Consider the following 19,369-nt stretch of genomic DNA (forward strand, 5'->3'; position numbering starts at 1 on the left):
CCCACTTCATATGTGTACAAAATTACAATCTTAGTTTTTAGCTCAGTTGTCTTATCTTTTAAGGCTATAGCAGAGGTGAAATAGGGCCAAAAGGCCAAACCTAGCCCAGCATGTATTTTTGCAAATAAAGGTTTATTGGAACACACTGGGTCCATTCGTTTACATATTGTCCGTGTGCTTGCTTGCTACTTTGTCAGAGTGGAGTGGTTTTGACCAAGACCCCCATGGCCATAAAGCCTCAGCACTTGGCTCTTCACAGAAAAAGTTTGCTGATCCCTGCTCTCCAGGAATCGCTGTGGGTGCATTTCCCTGAGATTGGCTTTGAGAAGGCAGAAACTGCTGAATATGCCACACACTGCAGTTGAGGCTCAGCTTCTCAGCTCTTTTTGCTGTATGTGAAGTGATAGCCAGGTTTCCACCAGGGTCTAATGAATCATGAGGGGAGGTCAATGGGCAGCAATTTCTCATTGCCTGGGGTCACCTCTGGATGTGGGAATCAGCGACAAGTAGGTGACTAACGGGAAGGACATCCAGGAAAGAGAGAGAAGAGAGACGAGGCGAGACGAAACTTTGCTCCTCCTAAGAGTTCTCCAGAGTCTTTCGACATTTTATCTTCTAGAGGACAGAATTCTGCTTGCTAGTATTTAGCGAATTGAATTTTGTCCTTAGAGACGTGCACACTGCTCCCATTGACTTCAATGGGAGTAATGGGCCATTTGGTCCCGCGACATCTGTGTTGGCTTCAGGCTATTTAACAAACTCCTAAACAAATCCCAATAAAGTGCTCTTTAATGGGTACTTAATTCTGGTGTAGGGGCGGGTGCTAAGCACACCTAAGTCCTTTCTTTTCCTTTAGGTTTACTAAGTTTCCTCCTTTTTATGGTGTGATAATTACTAAAGGCAAGAACCCTGAGTCAAGCAGTATAAAACCCACTCACAGTCACAAGGCTTGTGCTTTTATTGATCTCAGTTGGCCTGTTTATTCTCTGGGTTCCAATTTAATGGCTCAATTGATTATTCATTTACATTTTTAATGTCTTTGTGGGCAAAAATCATTTTAACTTGAATCATCTCTCAATGGGCGACATACGAAATCATTTTGGATTGTAAATTTCAACAAGTATCTATTGAGTCACTGAGCACAGGTGAACTTGACAAAGATGAAAAGGACATTTCAGTTTCTTGTAGAAGATGATGGAAATGATAGTTTGGTGTTTGCTTTGAAAAATGGATGTCACATATGTGTGGCTCACCTGACATCAGAGAGTGGTTAGAATATCAAGTTTTCTGTCATTTACTTACTAATTATATTTTGTCTAAATACAATTTGAAATCTACAATGCCTACGTCTTTAGTTGAACTCTTTCTTAAATTAAATCCACGAGTTTCAATATTATTCATTGGTATGTTTTCCTTTTAGATGGTCCAGCTTTGCTGTAGAAATGGTGAGAGATGATTATACTACAGAGTTCACAACATAATGAGCTATAGCTTGATTTTATGAGCTCACAAAATTTCATGTTTAGCAAAAGTAGGCAACATGCAAGATCTAACCACACTTATGTTTAAAACATGATATTCTTTTTCAAAGCCCTTTAAAGTATGCGTGTGGATTTGATTAGATAATGATTTATTCCTTCACAGCAAGCAGGTAAAGTTCTAAAAATATGGCTGCTTGTAGCTTATTCTTCTTGATGGGACTGTTTCGAATACAATACTTATAAAATATATACCCACTCACTTAGAATCTTCAATTCTTTCTAAAATGAGATGAGGCACAAGAAAATACATAAGTGCATATTTCCAACCACACTCGTCACTTTTATCTGACTATATAAAATGGAACCAGAGTTTAACATCAAAGAGGAGGCACATATTCATCCTTTGAGGAATAGTAACTGCTAGTGCTTGGCGAAAGGGGCAGTGAAAAGCGAAACCGTATTGCAAAGTTTGACACTGTTTCACTTTACTAACTTTCACTTGTAATTTTCATAATCTTATTACAAAATGTGTAGATCAAGGAAAGCAACTCATTTCAACTCTTGGAGAAAAAAAATTCAGACAATCAATGGTATTATTCTATCCATGTGGAATTACTAAACTGTTTCCTCTATGTCAGGTTTACGACAGGTAGCAGATTATAAACATAAATAAGATAAAATTAGGATGCTTAGAAATTTCCAGTCTTACAGACATGTAAACAGATATTTGAAATATAACTTGGGATTCAGTGCTTTTGCTTCCAAAGTGCTAGTGAACCCTCTGGTGGTCTCAGAGAGCTTTAAGGAAGAGGGAAATTTGCGTGCGGTCGTGGAGAATGAGGGAGTTCACCACCGTGAAGGTCGTGCAAAGGATCATCCAAAGTGAGGTGCCAGCCTCAGAAAACAGGAGTCAGGAGAACATGGGGATATTGAAGAAATGATAGATTCTTCATCATAACTCATGTGAGAGTACAGGCAGTGAGGGAAGCTAGTGCCTGAGTTAATGAAAATGAAAATGGCTGGATGATGAAGAGTTTTGAATTAGAAGAAATTCAACTTTATTATGTGGACAATGGAGGGTCACTGCCTGACTTTAAATAAAAAGGGGCCTGAATTTTTGAAAAATTCTGGACAATAAGCAGAAAGCAGAGGGGGGTGGTGCCAGTAAAAGAAAGTTCAAATGGGGGCGGGTCAGAGATAGTGGCTGATGAGGACTGGACTCCAAGCAGGCATATTTCCATCCTGCACCCTGAACAAGCACATGGAGCAAGCTTTATTAAGCACTCATCAATGGGGATTCATAGTCCCTTTCCCATGACATAATCCACTCTATTGGTACAACCTCTAAATGAATTCCTCTTTGTTAACTTACGTTAGAAACTTTTCTAAACATTTACATAGCTACTTATCAAGTTGGAATCATATTCCATGGTCATTTTCAATTGTGGTCATAGTCTTATTAGAGCTGGAAAAATGAAAATACATGTTTAATATTGTGATTGGATTATAACATATACTGATAAGATGATATTTCTTTTAAAAAAAAGTTCCCATATATTTGATGATAAAAGGATCGTTAGAAAGGATCAACAAACAAAAAGAAATGTGAATTATATACACATGCATTATTAAATTACTTCAGAATATTCAGTTAGCTTTATATAAAAGAGCATTTTTATGCTCCATCTGATGAGTTTAATGACTATTTGATACTTTCGTTCTGTTTGTTCAGAGCAGACATGGTCGGGTGAGGTCTTGTGTGAGTCCCATACCTGTGCTGTCTTCATACACCACTGTCACTGTTTTCCAGTTGTAATAGAGGACCAGATCCAGGATCGCCCTGCTGATAGCTGCATAATCTGGGTAAAGGTTGATGTAAAACAAATCTTTGTTGTCCACCGAGGGGTGTTTCCAGCGGGTCTGTATGTGTGGAACTTCGAGAGCATTGCAAATAGACTGCACAGCACTGACGGAGGAGCTATGGGAAGGGCCAAAGAGAGCAGCCACACCAAGAGCCAGCTGGTCACATGCTGATGCCCAAGGACAAGGAGAGGATGGGGAGGGAGGGCAGGGAAAGGGGGAGAGAAAAAGAGAGTTCTATGAATTTAATTTTTTCTTTCATGATTCCTCTTTTTAATGCAACTATTGAAAAATCTTTTACAATCCCTGTCTGCATATTGAGGAAATACGGTTGGTCCAACTTCCAACTTTCTTGAGCTGCTAATGTACTGATAGATGTAAACTTAGAACTGATTAGCAATATACCAACAAGGCCAACTCCCTGCTGGTCTCACTTTATTACCTTTAATCAGATGGAGTCTAAATCCCTTGCTTGGTATGGTGTTACCTGAAAGCACTCCTAGTTACCAACAAGCCCTTTGCCAAATGAGTGTTGTATGAATTAAGTTCTGTCATGCAGCAGGGTGGCATTGAAAATATTAATGTGGTTATAAAATTAATGTAGAACCTCTCGGTAACTACAAAGTGCTTTAGCTCCTATCTTTCCAAAACTCAGAAAGAAGTTCCAGGTAAATGAAATACTGCTAAAGAATGTTCATAAGCAGTGCTGCTGTCTAATTAATTTTCAAATAATGAAATAGCATAGCTTAAAGGGATCTCAGAAGACATTTTGTCCAACCCACTCATTTCATAGACAATGAAGAGAGTCATGGCCACTGGACAGGAGCTTTAGCTCAACATCAGGCCTCTTTCTACCCCAGGGTCAGCTGACAGGTAGCCTAAATACATCAAGTCAATATCTACTGAAAAATTTAGTTGTAACATAAATGTATTTTTCTCATTATAAGAATATAAGCACTCACTGAGAGAATTTAGAATATTTAAAATTAGGGATAAAAAGGCTCTGGGATTCATCCTATCATTTTGGAATAATATCTATTAATATTTGGGAAAATTAGAATCATTATATAAATACAGTTTGACATATTACTTTCTTTAACACTATAGCATGTCTTTTTTTCAAGTCCTTACAAATTCTCCTAAAGCATATTTTTAGTGTCTGTAGAATAGACCATTTCATAGGTGTGTCATCCCTTATTTAAGCATTCCTATAATATTAAACATTTGGCTCATGCCTGTAATCCCAGCACTTTGGGAGGCTGAGACAGGCAGATCACTTGAGGTCAGGAGTTCGAGACCTGCCTGGCCATCATGGTGAAACCCCATCTCTAATAAAAATACAAAAATTAGCCAGGTGTGTTGGTGTGCACCTGTCGTCCCAACTACTTGGGTGGCTGAGGCACGAGAATTGCTTGAACCCGGGAGGCAGAGATTGCAGTGAACTGAGATAGCACCACAGAACTCCAGCTGGGGTGACAGAGCGAGACTCTGTTTCAAAAAGCAAACAAACAAACATCCCCCAAAACATTTAAGCTGCTCCTAATTTTTGGCTATTATAAATAATATTATAGCACTTACCTTAGCTCTTATATTTTTCTCTGAATCTTGTGCTACTTTCTAAGAGTAGATTTCCAGAAGTTAAGTTACCAGTTATAATTAAGGGGTATAGATAGTTTGAAGTCACTTGAAACATATTAACCAAATTCCCTTCCGGAAAGGTTGGGGCAGTTTGCCCTCTACAACCATGTAAAATAGTGCCTATTAATCTTATGTTGGTAGGAATTAAATAAGAGCTTAAACACACTTTCAAATTTATATTTTAATTCTGCAAATTTAGAACGGTCATCAGATAATTAAATATCAAATTAGCTAAATTAATACATAAAATTGTATTGAATATTAATATCATTCTACAAATAAAAATAGTTTGAAAAATGATATGGCTCTGTAGTTACCTGACTTAATTCAGACAGAATAACTGATACAACTTTGACAGCCATATTGCAGGTATCTAAGGAACAGCAAATGTTTACAAGAAAAACTTTCTGCTACTCTGCTCTTTGGTAGTGAACTACTGCATTAACTACGAAGATGTACAGTTTTGTCCATTATGTGCTGGAAGTGTAAACTGTCATTGTCTTCAGAAGCTTATTTTCTGGTTAGGTTTTCATTATTTAGCCAGATAAAAGGAGAGTATGGGAGTGTGTGAACTCCAGCATGTGGAGCTGGATAGTGTTGTTCTATCCAGCATAAGCAATGGATTGAGATTCCTGTTAATAGTTAGCTCTGCGGTACTAATATTATTTGACAGAAAATCAATCCTTTTGAATTCTGTTTGCCAGCAAATTACCAGTTTTAAGAAGCTCTGGGGGTGTTTAACTGACAAGTAAGCCAGGTACTTCAGACCACAGGAAAGCTTTCGATTTTTATGTGGCTAGAGTTCCATTGCTAAATGTGGTTGGCTTTCTACAGTATTTGCTCCACAATGTGTAGGAGTGTTAGTGTCTGTTTGCATAGGTGTATGTGTGTAAGAGAGAGCGATGAGAGAAAGAAAAGTGATAGATCTATCTCTACATTATAGAGATAATTTATGTGAGGATAGCTTGGAAACTTTAAAATGCTGTATAAGTATATAGTTTTATTATTTGTCCATAGACAATTTTGACCCATATGATATCTCAAAGTCTACCCATTTTTAAAAAGAAAATATCTTTATACTTAAGTCAGGCCATAGATATAAAAATATTATGTTGTTAATGTTTTTTGTTTTGTTTTTGAGACGGAGTCTCGCTCTGTCACCCAGGCTGGAGTGCAGTGGTGCAATCTTGGCTTACTTCAGGCTCTACTTCCCGGGTTCACACTATTCTCCTGCCTCAGCCTGTGGTAGCTGGGACCACAGGCACCTGCCACCATGCCCGGCTACTTTTTTTTGTATTTTTAGTAGAGACAGGGTTTCACCATGTTAGACAGAATGGTCTCGATCTCCTGACCTCGTGATCCACCTGCCTCGGCCACCCAAAGTGCTGGGATTACCGGCATGAGCCACTGCGCCCTGCTATGTTGTTAATTTTTTATCTGTGCTCCTAAGAAAATAAGTTTTATATTTTGTTTGCAAAGAACACTAGAATTCTTGCAGGAGGCTGTATCAGGTGGACACAACCTATGATCTAACTAGATTAATTCTACATGGAAACAACCAGCATTTAGTAACCTGGAAATCAGCATAAACATGGTGTTCATTGTGTTTCCTTATTTGTGTGTATTTAGTAGGCAAGGATTCCTCTCTGAGGCAAAGAACCCCCCCAATCTGGGGTGATGAGTAGCCTTTGTTTCCACATAAACACATTTATTTAGTGACTAGATAGTGTCCCTGTTAGAAGCCAACCCTCAACTATGTGATCTTACTTCAAAGACTTGTCCTAATATTGTCTAGAAGATGTCTAAGCAAGCCCCACAATTCCGAATGAATCTTTCCATGAGAGAAACCTTGCAGCCAACATATGAATTAGATTACTTTTTAGGCTAGGCACTTGGCTTCAGTTCAGAAGAAAAAGAGGATCGGATGTAGACATTGCTCTCACAGGTTTAATCTTCATATTTCTATGATTTTGTGGAAAAGAGTAAAAAAAAGTTGAGAGGATGCTAGGTAAACTCAGTAGTTTACAACCTGTTAAAATTCAGGGTGTGAGTTATGTGTGTCCTGGGCATTTCCACATGCTCAGTGGATTGACCTTCCATAATGTTTTATTTGACTGCACCGCACGATTTCATGGTGGTATCTCAGCTTCAGGAAGGAAAAACAGATCAAGCTTGACATTTTCCATTCACAGCTGAGCTAGTTAATCATAGAGTGGAGGGCACTGAAGGGTAAGCTCATCAGAAAGGCCCAGAAAACAGTGCTCAGCAACGTCCATTAGGTTAGTTCAGATTACACTGATCAGTGACATCGAAGACCCAGATTTCCCGCGACCCATTTGCACAAAGATGCCCGCTTTAAAAGAGGGCAGGTAGCAAAAAGAAGGTGACTTGGAGAGCAGACATATCACCCAAAGAAGCTTTTAAAAGTGGGAAAATAGTTACCTCTCCGCGAGGCTTCAAAACTATCAAAAAGGTTAATTCTCTGGATGTCATAGGTTAATGTGGTGTTAGGCATCAGGGTTCGGTTTCTGTTAATGCTGGTGACTGCAAACTTGAAAGCTAATTCTTCAACATTAACAGGCTCATTTTCCACTGTTTCAAAAATCCCTCCTGCAGAAGCAAAAGAGATGCATGAGAAGCGTTAGTCACATGGTTCACATGTAATTTTTTTTTTTTTTTTTTTTTTTTTGAGACGGAGTCTCGCTCTGTCACCCAGACTGGAGTGCAATGGCACGATCTCAGCTCACTGCAACCTCCGCCTCTGGGTTCAAGCGATTCTCCTGCCTCAGCCTCCCGAGTAGCTAGGACTGCATGTGTGCACTACCATGCCCGGCTAATTATTATATTATTAGTAGAGATGGGGTTTCCCCATGTTGGCCAGGCTGGTCTCGAACTCCTGACCTCAGGTGATCCACCCGCCTCGACCTCCCAAAGTTCTGGGATTACAAGCATGAGCCACCACACCCGGCCAGTAAAAAGAAGAATGTACATATACAAATAAGAGACCCCAAATGATAAATAGAGTAATAGAGCAGATCCTAAATCCCGGGCTAAAAGTGAAGTTTATCAGCATGTGCCACATGCAGATAAATAGGACTAACTGCATATGTATGCTTAAGATTTTAAATCCAGTGTTGGACTGTATACCATCTCTCAGATGGCAAATGTGTTCCAAACATTTAGTGGTATAAAAGTGTAACTGATAATATGGCAGAGGACGATTTTCTGTGATGTGGACAAGAATTGCACCATGCTCGATCTAAACATAATTTGAGCTGTATCCTTGTAGGACCATTCTTCTTTAGAATGAAGATCTTTCTATTCAGAAGCCTACATTCCAGACTCTAAGGGGATCATGCAGAGTTGATGGGATCAAAATGACACATACATACTGTTAGATTTTTCAAGATAAAAATGTCCTTTTTTGTGCTTCATGGCTCAGAATTCTGAGATCATATTCTAGTACTTTCCAAAGTGCATGAGAATATTCAAAGAACTGGTTTTTTTTCTTTCTTTTCTTTTTTTCTTTCTTTCTTTTCCTTTTTGTTTTTAGAAACTGTTTAGTCCAAAGCAAACCTGCATCAGGTAACTGAAGAAATATGTCCCTTCACTGAGCAAGTGCACATGTTCTAGGTAGGCTCTGGTGTCTTAAACATGAGGATCTCACTGCAAGTAACAGTACAAAATGTTAGTGCTTAAAGCCTCATCAGAGAATGAGCTCTGATTTTGCTTGAGACATTGATGTTTGACAGAAACAATGTAAGTGTTGTTAACTGTACAGTTCTTAGATGTTTTCTGAGAGACGTCCTAGGATTATTAATAGACACAGGGCCTACAGTGGAAGCTTTCTTAACCCATCTCCATTTAAGTTACTCCTTGATTGACCAATACTCCTCATTTCTTTTGAAAGTACATGTTAACTGATGCTCATGGAATGCTAAACACTTGTAACTTGCAGGCTGACATATCTATATCTATATCAATATCTATCTATCTATCTATCTATCTATCTATCTATCTATCTATATATATATATTTTGAGATGGAGTCTTGCTCTGTTGCCCAGGCTGGAGGGCAGTGGTGCAATCTTGGCTCATTGCAACCTCCGCCTCCCAGGTTCAAGCAATTCTCCTGCCTCAGCTACCTGAGTAGCTGGGATTACAGGCATGCACCACCATGACTGGCTAATTTTTGTATTTTTAGTAGATATGGAGATTCACCATATTGGCCAGGCTGGTCTCAAACTCCTGACTTCGTGATCTGCCTGCCTCAGCCTCCCAAAGTGATGGGATTACAGGCATGAGCCACCGTGCCTGGCCCAGGCTGCTATTTTTTATCTACTCTCAGGATTGAGTGATCCCTTACCAAAAGTCAGTTGTAGGTTTTACCTAACTTGTCTATGCTAGGTTGATTTACAAGTGCTCTCAGTTCTCTCTCCATTCAAAGGGGGAAAAAAAAGAATATAGAAAAAGTCTGAAACGAAAATCACAAATACGCATCATGCGCGTCATTTATGTGCATTTTTTGTTAGAAAGGGAACTCCAATGGACAGACTGTAATTCAAAGAAATTACCCTGATCCTACTTTGAAAAAAATGCAATAAACAAATACACATCTGTAATGTTCCTGCTGAAATGACTTTATTAAATAACTAACTACAGTGTTGGGTTGTGAAAGCTAAGATGGTTTATAGTGAATTATTTTGGCTCCTTTTGGAAATATTTCGGGCTTTTGTAGACTGATAATATGGGACATTCAGGTATAGATAATTTCCCTGGTTTCTGAGAAATCATAGTTGAAAATTGTATGACAATACACCTACTATGTACCCACAAAAACTGAAATTAAAAGAAGGAAAATTACATGACAGAGTTATTTGGTAATGTTAACCTTTACCTAAGGAGCCATTTAAGACCTTTATTTGAAATGAACGTAAGGAAAAATGTTGCTGTTCAAGTGAATTTTGTGTTTTACTTTTGTCAGACAATGGTAGGGAGAGACTCTGGAGTTGATTTTCAGTTTCTCTCAGAACTGTTGGTGGATGCTCAACAGTGAGGTGACAAGATGATGCAAAAGACACTTGGTCACCAGAAGGTGGACATAAGTCCGTCTTACTGCCACCATCTAGGTGACCCATACAGAGGGCTGCCTGGCGATAGGGCTTCCACAGTGATTATGAACAATGACTTGTTTACTTGTCTGTCTCCTCAGCCCCACAGGGAGAGCCCGCATGTAGAGAGACTGTGTCTTACTCAGAATCAGCATCCTTGGGGAGACCAAGGCATCTTTAGGACGTTCAGGCTGCAGGTATTTAGGGGAAAAGTCAATCACTGGCATGGATGTGAGCACCATTAATCTGTGCAGGGTAGGCTGCTTGGAGGAAACAAATACCTGAATAGGAAACAGAAATTCTGAATTTTGAAACCTGATCTACCTACTTCCTCTTTGAGAAGGATTTTTAAGTATCAGAAAGAAAATTATTATGAAATAGCTCTTTTACATATGTTTAATTACACTTTATAACATTCAAGGCAGGAGGGTTTTTTTCCATTTTTATAAATGAAAAAGTGAACAAGAAGATTACACATTACATCCTGCTTATTCAAAATCACAGTCTTGTCTGGGACTGACTCAGTTGTCTGAATGTCCAAAAAATGTAAATGTTTTCATTTCATCAAGTTATTTCTGTTGTTCTTTGTCTCATACATGTGAGCTAATAGTGTTGTCTTGCTTCCCTTGGAGAATTGCTCTATAAAGCAAATGAGAAAATGTAATCAAAGTGCCCTGAAAACTCAAAAATTCCCTAGAAATAAGTTTTTTTTATTATCGTACCTGGATAATGGAAATAAAAAGAGGAGTTGGCACCAACTGGTGAACTGACTACTTGCCTCAAAATTATTCTTTTGCTATGTAGTTGTCTATCACATAAAGCCAAATGAACCTGGGTTTAAGGGAATTACAAGTGTTTTCATTATGTGCTTGGGTAGTGTGTAGGTGAACTGTTTTGTCACTTTCAGAGCAATTTTTTTTTCATTTTTTCATCAAACAGGCATTATGAATGGTGTCATTAGCTCAAGACCCCATCACACTCTCTTTCTTCAAGAGAGGGTTGCGGATAAATGCGAAAAATCTACTGTGGTATGAGGTAAATAGAAAGCTGGAGATGTACCAAAAAAGTGAGATCTGACAGAAACAGGAGAAAGTTATTAATAGGAGCCAGACCATTACCTCACATGTGGGCAGACTGTTTAACGATCAGCCACTTCCTCCCTCCTTCTCCTCCCCATAGCTTCAGATACAACAAAACGAGATGTAGAGTCTTTAATAAGCAGAATAAAGGGGCACACACGTTGGGGCCCTTGCATAATTTCCTCCTTCGGTCTTTCCTTCTCTCCTTCTTGTTCTCTCTTTCCCTCTCTTTTTTTCCTTTCTTTTCCTTTCCTTTCTCTTTTCTTTCTTTCTTTCTCTCTCTCTCTCTTTCTTTCTTTCTTTCTTTTTTCTTTCTTCCTTTCTTTCTTTCTCTCTGTCTCTTTCTTTCTTTCTCTTTCTTTCTTTCCTTCTTTCTTTCCTTCTCCCTTTCTTTCTCTCTCTCTGTCTCCCTCCCTTCCTCCATTCCTCCCTTCCTCCCTTTTTACTTCTTTTGTATAATAATTGTGAGTGTGAGCTGTCAATGAGACGTCTGAAGGCTTTAGGGGTCTTCATGTTGTGAACCTCTGGCCTCATTCATTTGGAGGCCCATTGGTTTGAGATGAGAAATCCCTACCTTTTTCATCCCTCTGTTCCTCTTCCTCTCTCTGTCTCTCATTTGAGCTTAGCTGACTTCTACTCCTAACAATGATGTGGACCATGGAAGGGTTAGGAAATTGAAATAAAAATCTAGCTTAGGCTCAAGGAAGAGAGGCAAAGTTGTCCCCTCCCCTTGTATTTTTGAAATTTCCCAAGCCAGGGCAGTGGGTGAAGGGAGAAGGCAGGACTGAGAGCTCAGGATGAAGAACAAGCTTTTTCATTCTGCTATAATTCTTGAGAGAAGTAGTGCATGACAGATGGAACACAGGAGGGTGAGAAACCTCAAAATCGGCAGGCCTGGGTTGTCCATGTTCTCTTTCATTGCTCGTGTGTACCTGAAGCATGAGAAGTATTGTTAAACTATTTTTTTATCATGTCTATGTCGTAGATCAGTTTGAGTCAGTACAGATCACCTGCCAGTCTTTATAGACTGGAAATGGTTGGGCAGTAATCCTTTGTCTGATCATCATTAGGAAGCTTGATCAACGGTCAAGGTGCATGCTTAATATCCACCTCCCCAGCCTCTTCTCCACCTCACCCACCATTGTCGAAGCAAAGGGTTGGAAAGTGAAAGAAGTTGGGCTTTTTCTTTGAGTAATGAGTCTGTCTTATGTGAATATTTGTGCCATTTAAAATGATAAGGGTAAAATCATACTGCTTGTAAACACCAGAATAGATAAGAATTCTGAAAAATTAATGCTTTTTTTATTAATACACGTTCGTATTTAGGATTTACCTATGAGGACTTTGTCCTGATTGCTCCCACTGTACTTTTCTGGGAAGCATAGATGTTGGTACAAATAATGCTGATGCTAAACTGGTCTGTCCTTCATACTCTGTGTTCCCTCACCTGAGACAAGGTGCCACATATGGTCACTAAACAAAGGGTATGAGACAATAATGCCTGTGCCTACATTCTGGAGTAGCTTTGAAACTCAGAAGCGACTTGCTTTCTTGGTAAGTCACTGTTATGGACTGAATTGCATCCTCCCTCAAATTTATATGTTGCAGGCCTCACCTCTGGATCCTCAAAATGTGACTGTATTTAGAAATAGTGTCTTTAAAACAGTGACTAGGTTGCAATGAGGCGGCTAGGGTAGGCCTTAAACCACTCTGACTGGGCCTTATAAGAAGGGAAAATCTGGACACACAGATATACCAGGGACTTGTGCACACAGAGGAAAGGCCATGTGAGGGCCAAGCAAGAAGGAGGCCATCTGCAAGCCATGGAGAGAGGCCTCTGGAGAAACCAAACCTGCCGACACCTCCATCTTGGACTTCCAGCCTCCAGAACTGAGAGAAATTAAGTGTCTGTTGTTTAAGCCACCCAGTCTATGGTCTTTTTTGTTTGTTTGTTTTTTTGTGTTTGTTTTTACAGCAAACCTAGCATAGACTAGTACATTTATCAGCATCTTTTTTTTTTTTTTGAGATGGAGTCTCGCACTGTCACCCAGGCTGGAGTGCATTGGCGCAATCTCGGCTCACTGCAACCTCCAGCTCCCGGGTTCAAGAAATTCTCCTGCCTCAGCCTCCCTAGTAGCTGGGATTACAGGCAAGCACCACCACACCCAGCTAATTTTTGTATTTTTAGTACAGAGAGGGTTTCGGCATGTTGGTCAGGCTGGTCTTGAACTCCTGACCTCAGGTAATCTGCCCACCTTGGCCTCCCAAAGTGTTGGGATTACAGGCGTGAGCCACCGTGCCCAGCCAACATCTTCTTTTTTTTCTCCCAAGGGCTTTGAAATTGAAAATAATTTTAAAGGAACTCACATATATTCAAGTAATATTCTCTTCTAACAAGATTCTGACTTTACAGCGCAGTAATTTAAGATAAGCCAAGAGGAATTCACTTGAAATCTTGGTTTAGACAGCAGAGTTCCGTCACCACAGGAGCATTTCTGTCTGTTTTGGGTAGACTCTTGAACCAGTGAAGTGCAGCGAGGACGTAGGCAGTTGTGTTTTGTGACTACCTAAACACAGATGGAAGCCACAGCTGGCAACATCCTGTACACCTGGCAGGTGGCCTTTAAGGGGGGATGATGGGTGCAATGAAGGGTTGCCATGAAGGATGTTGGGTTGTGCCACATAATTCCATCTAGACTTACAGGAGAATTGTTCTGAATCACAACTCTACAACTGCTGGGTCAACAACATAATCATTGTAGGCAAAGGGTAACACTTAGAGAAGGCTAAGGTCAATAATGTGCTATTCGTGAAGACACCCAAGGTAAACCCACGGCAATGGCTTCCAAACTTTCCCTTAATCCCACATTATATGGAGAGAATCAGAATGTCAAAGGGGTGGAATTCAGCAATCTTAATATGAAAAAAACCATGCCTGGCTCTAGGTCTCACTGATTGACTTTTTTTTTAGGTTCCAAGGATACTTCCTAACCTGCTTTTCAATCACTGTTTCCATGGAACAGGGAGCTATCCGAATCAACTCAGTGTAACATGGTGGAAATCAAGCCATTGTTGTGGGTAAGAACCTTAAAGGGAGGCAATTCCACTGCTGCCTACTGATTCCATCTGTCTCTAGATTAAGCCTGTGCTGAGAGATTAGTGAAAGTATTAAATTTACCCTCTTCTTCCCAAAAGGAATTTCAGACAATGTTTCATTGTGGCAGAGAATCCATCTCATTTAATGATGGAAAAAACAAACAAAAAAAACACAGGAAAATAATGGTTTTCTATCTTATTCCTCTCAAAGGAATATATTGTTCTGACTCAACTTACCTTGTAATGGTAAATATATTCCAACGATAACCATTTCAGAAATGCAATAGAATTAAAATCCACCTATATTTAGTTGTTGTTGTTGTTCTACTTCAATTCATGGTTATATATATTATGTCCATGATTCTACTGAATAACTCGCTCATCCAATGATTTGTTCATTTATTTCCTCATTTATTTGTAAGATGCCTAGACAGATACTGTGTGAGGCACTGGGATGTGCCAGTGAGCAACAGATACGCATCTGACTTTTGGAGCTTTTATTTTAGAAGGGGAATTGGTCATGAACAGGAAGACAGGCATTGACATGTCAGAGTGAGAGGTGAGAAAAGTGCTTACTGGGAGGGCACTTTTGAGCAAAAGCCTAAAGATAATGAGAAAACCACTCTGAAGATACTGGGAGAAGAGCGTTACAGCCAGGGGAAATATAATGTCTAAGGTGGGAGCAGCCTGATGCTATTTTTGAGGAAGAGTGAGGCTGAAGTCGGGTGAGCTGGGCTTGGACTGGTAGAAGACGAGCTCAGAGAAGTGATGGGTGGATTGGAGCAGATCACAGAGGGCCTTAAGGGCCATCACAGGGCTGTGGTTTTGTTCTGGGTGAGATGGGAAACCACTGGCCATCTTTGAGCAGAGGAGTGAAATGATATGACATATTTCAAGAGAATCAAGCTGACTTTTGTATTAAGAATAGACTGAAGGGAGGAGAAGGGCAAGAACAAAGCACAGGGAGATCTGCCCTTGGAGATGTTGCAATAACACTCTTGCCGTAAGAGTCTATTTCAGTAATCCAGGTGAGAGATGATGATGGCTTTGTACAAATTAGTGGAATTGGGATGTGACAAAAAGTGGTTGAATTCTAGATAAAATCTGAAGGACTTCGGCAGGATTTGCTGATGATGCATAAGTAAGAGGAAGGGAGTTGAGGATAACATCAGGTTTTTGGCTTGAAATTGCCATTGACCAAGACGAGGAACGATGCAGGAGGTACTTGACTTGGGACATGATTCTTTTGTGGTGCCTATTAGAAGTCCAAGTGAAGCCATCATCCTTAGCAAACTGATGCAGGAACAGAAAACCAAAGACCACGTGTTCTCATGTATAAGTGGGAGCCAAATGATGGGAACACATGGACACATAGAGGGGAACAACACACATTGGGGCCTATTGGAGGACAAAGGGTGGGAGGAGGGAGAGGATCAAGAAAAATAACTAATGGGTACTAGGCTTAATACTTGGGTGATGAAATTATCTGCACAGCAACCCACCATGACACATATTTACCTATGTACAAAACTGTGCATGTACCCCTGAACTTAAAATGGAAGTTTTTTTTAAAAAAAAGTCCAAGTGGAGAGGCCAGCTGTGAAGTTAGATATATCAATCTGGATCTTATGGCAGAGAGGTTGGGCCTAGAGATAGAAATTTGGGAGTCACCACCATAAAGGTGGCATTTAAAGCCATGAGACTGAATGGCATCACCCAGGAGTAAGTGTAGATTTAAAGAGGCAGATGGGTCACTTGAGGTCAGGAGTTTGAGACCAGACTGGTCAACATGGCAAAATCCCATCTCTATTAAAATACAAAAATTAGCCAAGCATGGTGGCACGCACCTGTAATCCCAGCCACTCAGGAAGCTGAGGCAGGAGAATCGCTTGAACTTGAGAGGCGGAGGTTGCAGTGAGCCGAGATCGCACCACTGCACTCCAGCCTGGGTGACAGAATGAGACTCCATCTCAAAAAACAAACAAGAAAACAAACAAAAACAGACAGAGACTGGAGTGATGCAGCCAGAAGCCAAGGAATGACTGAAGCCACCAGAAGCTGGAGGAAGCAAATAAATGAATTTCTCCCAGAGCCTTCAGAGAAAATAAGACCCTGCCAATACCCAGATTTCAGACTTCTGGCCTCTGGGGATCTGTGAGAGAGTAAACTTCTGTCGTTTTAAGCCACTGTTGGTGGTAATTTGTGATGATAGACACAGGAAACTAATGCAGCATCTCAATTGTCTTCAGAAAGTTTTCATATTGGTCACTTTTAATTACTGTATTTCTTTCCTGTTTGTGAAATGTTATTTTATTCAGTTCTTCAAATAGCAATTTTTAACTCTCTAGCATGATTTTGCAAATATGGCACATAGTTGTACTGTACAACACATTGAGTTTTTATGTTTATGATATTTTCCTATTCTGAATGTGACAGGGCCAAGATACTATATGTATTCTAACAAAGCTCGCTTGCTCCCTTAACTAACTTCTGTGTGCCTGTTGTGACAATCTGTGAGGTCATCCAGGAAGAAAGGTAAAACCATTAGCTGACAATCAAGACATGGAAAGCGTTTGTAGTGTTGACTCCTGTTTTGCATTCCTGTGGAATAATAACCATTCCAGAAGCTATCAACAGAAAACAAGATGGCAATTTGATCTATTCCTTTGCTGATAGCTGCTCCTTAAATATACAATATTCTATAGCCTCTCTATTGCCACATCCATAATTCTAGTTGATTACATCATAAGCAATTTACTATAGGCCTATATTTACTGCACCTTTAATTCCAAGGCTACAGATTTAAATTCTAAGATTCCCTTAGATAAATGCTGTCTTCCTCACTCAGCTTTCGTATTTTTGTTTTATCTTTGGAGCTCAAAACATTCTTGGTAAAGATCCCATGCTAGATGGATTTGGATGGGAAGCAGGTGTTTCTTGACCTGATGGAAAGTGAATGGACAGAAGAGATTGGATTTTTACCTTTCAGAAAGTCCCAGCCAAGAACAGAGCTGTGGTTAAGGACAAGGACAGCTTCAACTGGAAACTGGCTCTAATTCAGTCTGCTATAAGTGTCTTCAGGTATTAGTATCCTTTAGAGGGGGAGAATGGGGTTTGATGTCACCGTTGAGACAATAACCACATCCAGACTCACTCTTTGATGCCTTAAAGAGATTTGCATTAATTCACTAGGAATGGCCTTTGAGGGATAAGAAAATATGGAGCAAGGAATTATGGATGTACTTCAGAGGGTAGCTAGTAAGAGAAAGGCCGTGGATTATGGGCAGTTTAGTAAATACTATTAGTAATTTTCCTTCATAAATTTGAGTTGCACTATAAATTACCCAAAGCCAAAGTTACTCTTATTCCAGTGTTATTCAACACTCAGTTTAACTCATAAAACATTATTAGACATCTATTAATATCTAAGACTATGCTAGGAGGAGTGGAAAATACAAAGATGAAAGATGCTTGGTTCCTGCCCTCAGCAGAGCTTCCAGTCTTTTGGGATATACTGCATTACTGGTGTAGAGTACAGAAAAAGAAAGTAGGTATAGTAGTCAATTATTCTATCAATAAAGCAAAAAGCCTGCTTTTTGTCTCCTCCTATGTGGAATCTTTCCTGATTCCTCCAGCCAGAGGTGAACTCTCCCTTTCTTTTGGTAACCATAAAATCTACTACATATTTCAAGGAATTTATTTTGGTGTAAAATAAGCCTACATCCTGCTCTGCCTGTTCCTTGAAGATCAGGACAGATGTTTATTGAAATGTGCCTTCTCCTTCAGAGCTAAATGCAATGATTTGGTCATAGTATGTTGTCCCCAGTAAATGGTCCTTCAGTTGAACTTACTCTCCTTCTTGTGCCTTAACACTATGCCTCACAAAGTAGTTTGTTCTGCCAAGAGAGAGGCCTTTGAGATACGTAGGAAAGATGGAGGGTGGTTATTGAGGTCTGTAGTGAGACTGCCTGACTTTTTCCATTACTGCCTTTTTAGCAGTGATTTCTCACTCTCTCCCAACAATCACGGCCCATTGTCCCCAAGCACTTTCAAAGCATACTTTTCATCAGGCTGCCAGCCCCTTAACATCATGAAGGTATGGCTCATCTCCTGTTCAACAGCAGATTTCAGGCAAGAACCAGGAATATTGCCAAAAATTCATGCCAAACTTTTATTCTTATGAAACTCTGTGATCACTTTAATGTCTCTTGACAGCAGTTATAGTTTTAGCTTTTAACATCTCATTTAAATGACTCATATTCATGCTGAAGAGCTCATGATTCTATTTATCTCCTTATTAATTAAATGAATGGAATAAGACAAGTTCACAACCTGTGGTTCCAGGGAAGCTATATTATGTGTTGCATCCCAATTTTCTAGTTTTCTTCTTCTGTATTTCTGTTGTTTCTCAACCTGAAATTTCTTGCTGAGAAGAAGATATTGCTGTTAAAGATTAGAACTGATGTTTGAAGCCAAAATAAATGGAGGCTCACAGCTCCCACAGAGCAGTATATACCGATGTGTGTGCGTATATGTTGCCCATGAGATCTTATACATAGAGAGTTTAGTGGTCAAATATGCTTGGGAGGCACTGCTTCATTTCATCCTTCTTAAAAATTCACACTACACAATGACATTTGTCTCTCAGAAGTCCTGCAGCAAAGAAAACAATTTGAGTGTTTAACTCAGTATCCCCCAAATTCATTTGATGATAGGACAGTTTTCCTTGTAACCGTGACATGCAGTGGAATTGTTGTCTTAAGAAACACTTTTTGAAAAGTTTGATCTGTAGATCTACTCTCTTTGGGACTGACTAAAATAATTTGCAGTCTTAAATATTGTTCTTGTGCTAATTTTAATGAAAAGTTAGACATCAGGTTCTTGATCAGAAATAAAACCTCTAATTATGACACTACTTTGTATCTAATTCATATCAGATTTATACTATCAAATCTTACCTCATCTTTTCATTTACAAAAATACCTAAGCATTAAGATGGTCTGTATGTCTATGAAAAACAGCATCTTTTAATCAATCGTATCTCACAGATATGTTGCAGGTAAGGTGCATGTCCATGACATTTAATGTAAATATTTAAAATGCAT

The 19,369-nt window shown here is 39.5% G+C and overlaps 1 protein-coding gene across 13 annotated transcripts in view, besides 1 other annotated feature; it reads right to left on the reverse strand.

Moving 5' to 3' along the window:
• GRIK1 (glutamate ionotropic receptor kainate type subunit 1) overlaps positions 1-19,369 on the reverse strand; it is a 403,064-nt gene that overhangs the window by 149,542 nt on the left and 234,153 nt on the right. For 10 of the 13 annotated variants that reach the window (NM_175611.3, NM_001330993.2, NM_001320616.2 and 7 more), the window contains exons 2-3: positions 7,422-7,589; positions 3,254-3,511 (exon numbers count right to left, since the gene is read on the reverse strand). The exons of 1 other annotated variant lie outside the window; for it this stretch is intronic. In NM_175611.3, coding sequence (NP_783300.1) covers positions 3,254-3,511; positions 7,422-7,589 — 426 coding nt within the window. The remainder of the gene's footprint in view (positions 1-3,253; positions 3,512-7,421; positions 7,590-19,369) is intronic. 2 more of the 13 variants (NM_001320618.2, NM_001393426.1) reach the window with 1 other exon arrangement.
• Positions 10,059-10,245: a silencer, noted in NCBI's record as "fragment chr21:31068852-31069038 (GRCh37/hg19 assembly coordinates)". NCBI's record gives its function as "represses an EF-1alpha promoter that drives an FKBP-Casp9 reporter gene in an ReSE screen in both phorbol 12-myristate 13-acetate-treated (for megakaryocytic differentiation) and untreated K562 erythroleukemia cells {active_cell/tissue: K562 | K562(+PMA)}" and the evidence as "EXISTENCE:reporter gene assay evidence [ECO:0000049][PMID:32094911]".

Source organism: Homo sapiens, chromosome 21 (genome assembly GCF_000001405.40).
Source record: "Homo sapiens chromosome 21, GRCh38.p14 Primary Assembly".
Classification (NCBI taxonomy): domain Eukaryota; kingdom Metazoa; phylum Chordata; class Mammalia; order Primates; family Hominidae; genus Homo; species Homo sapiens.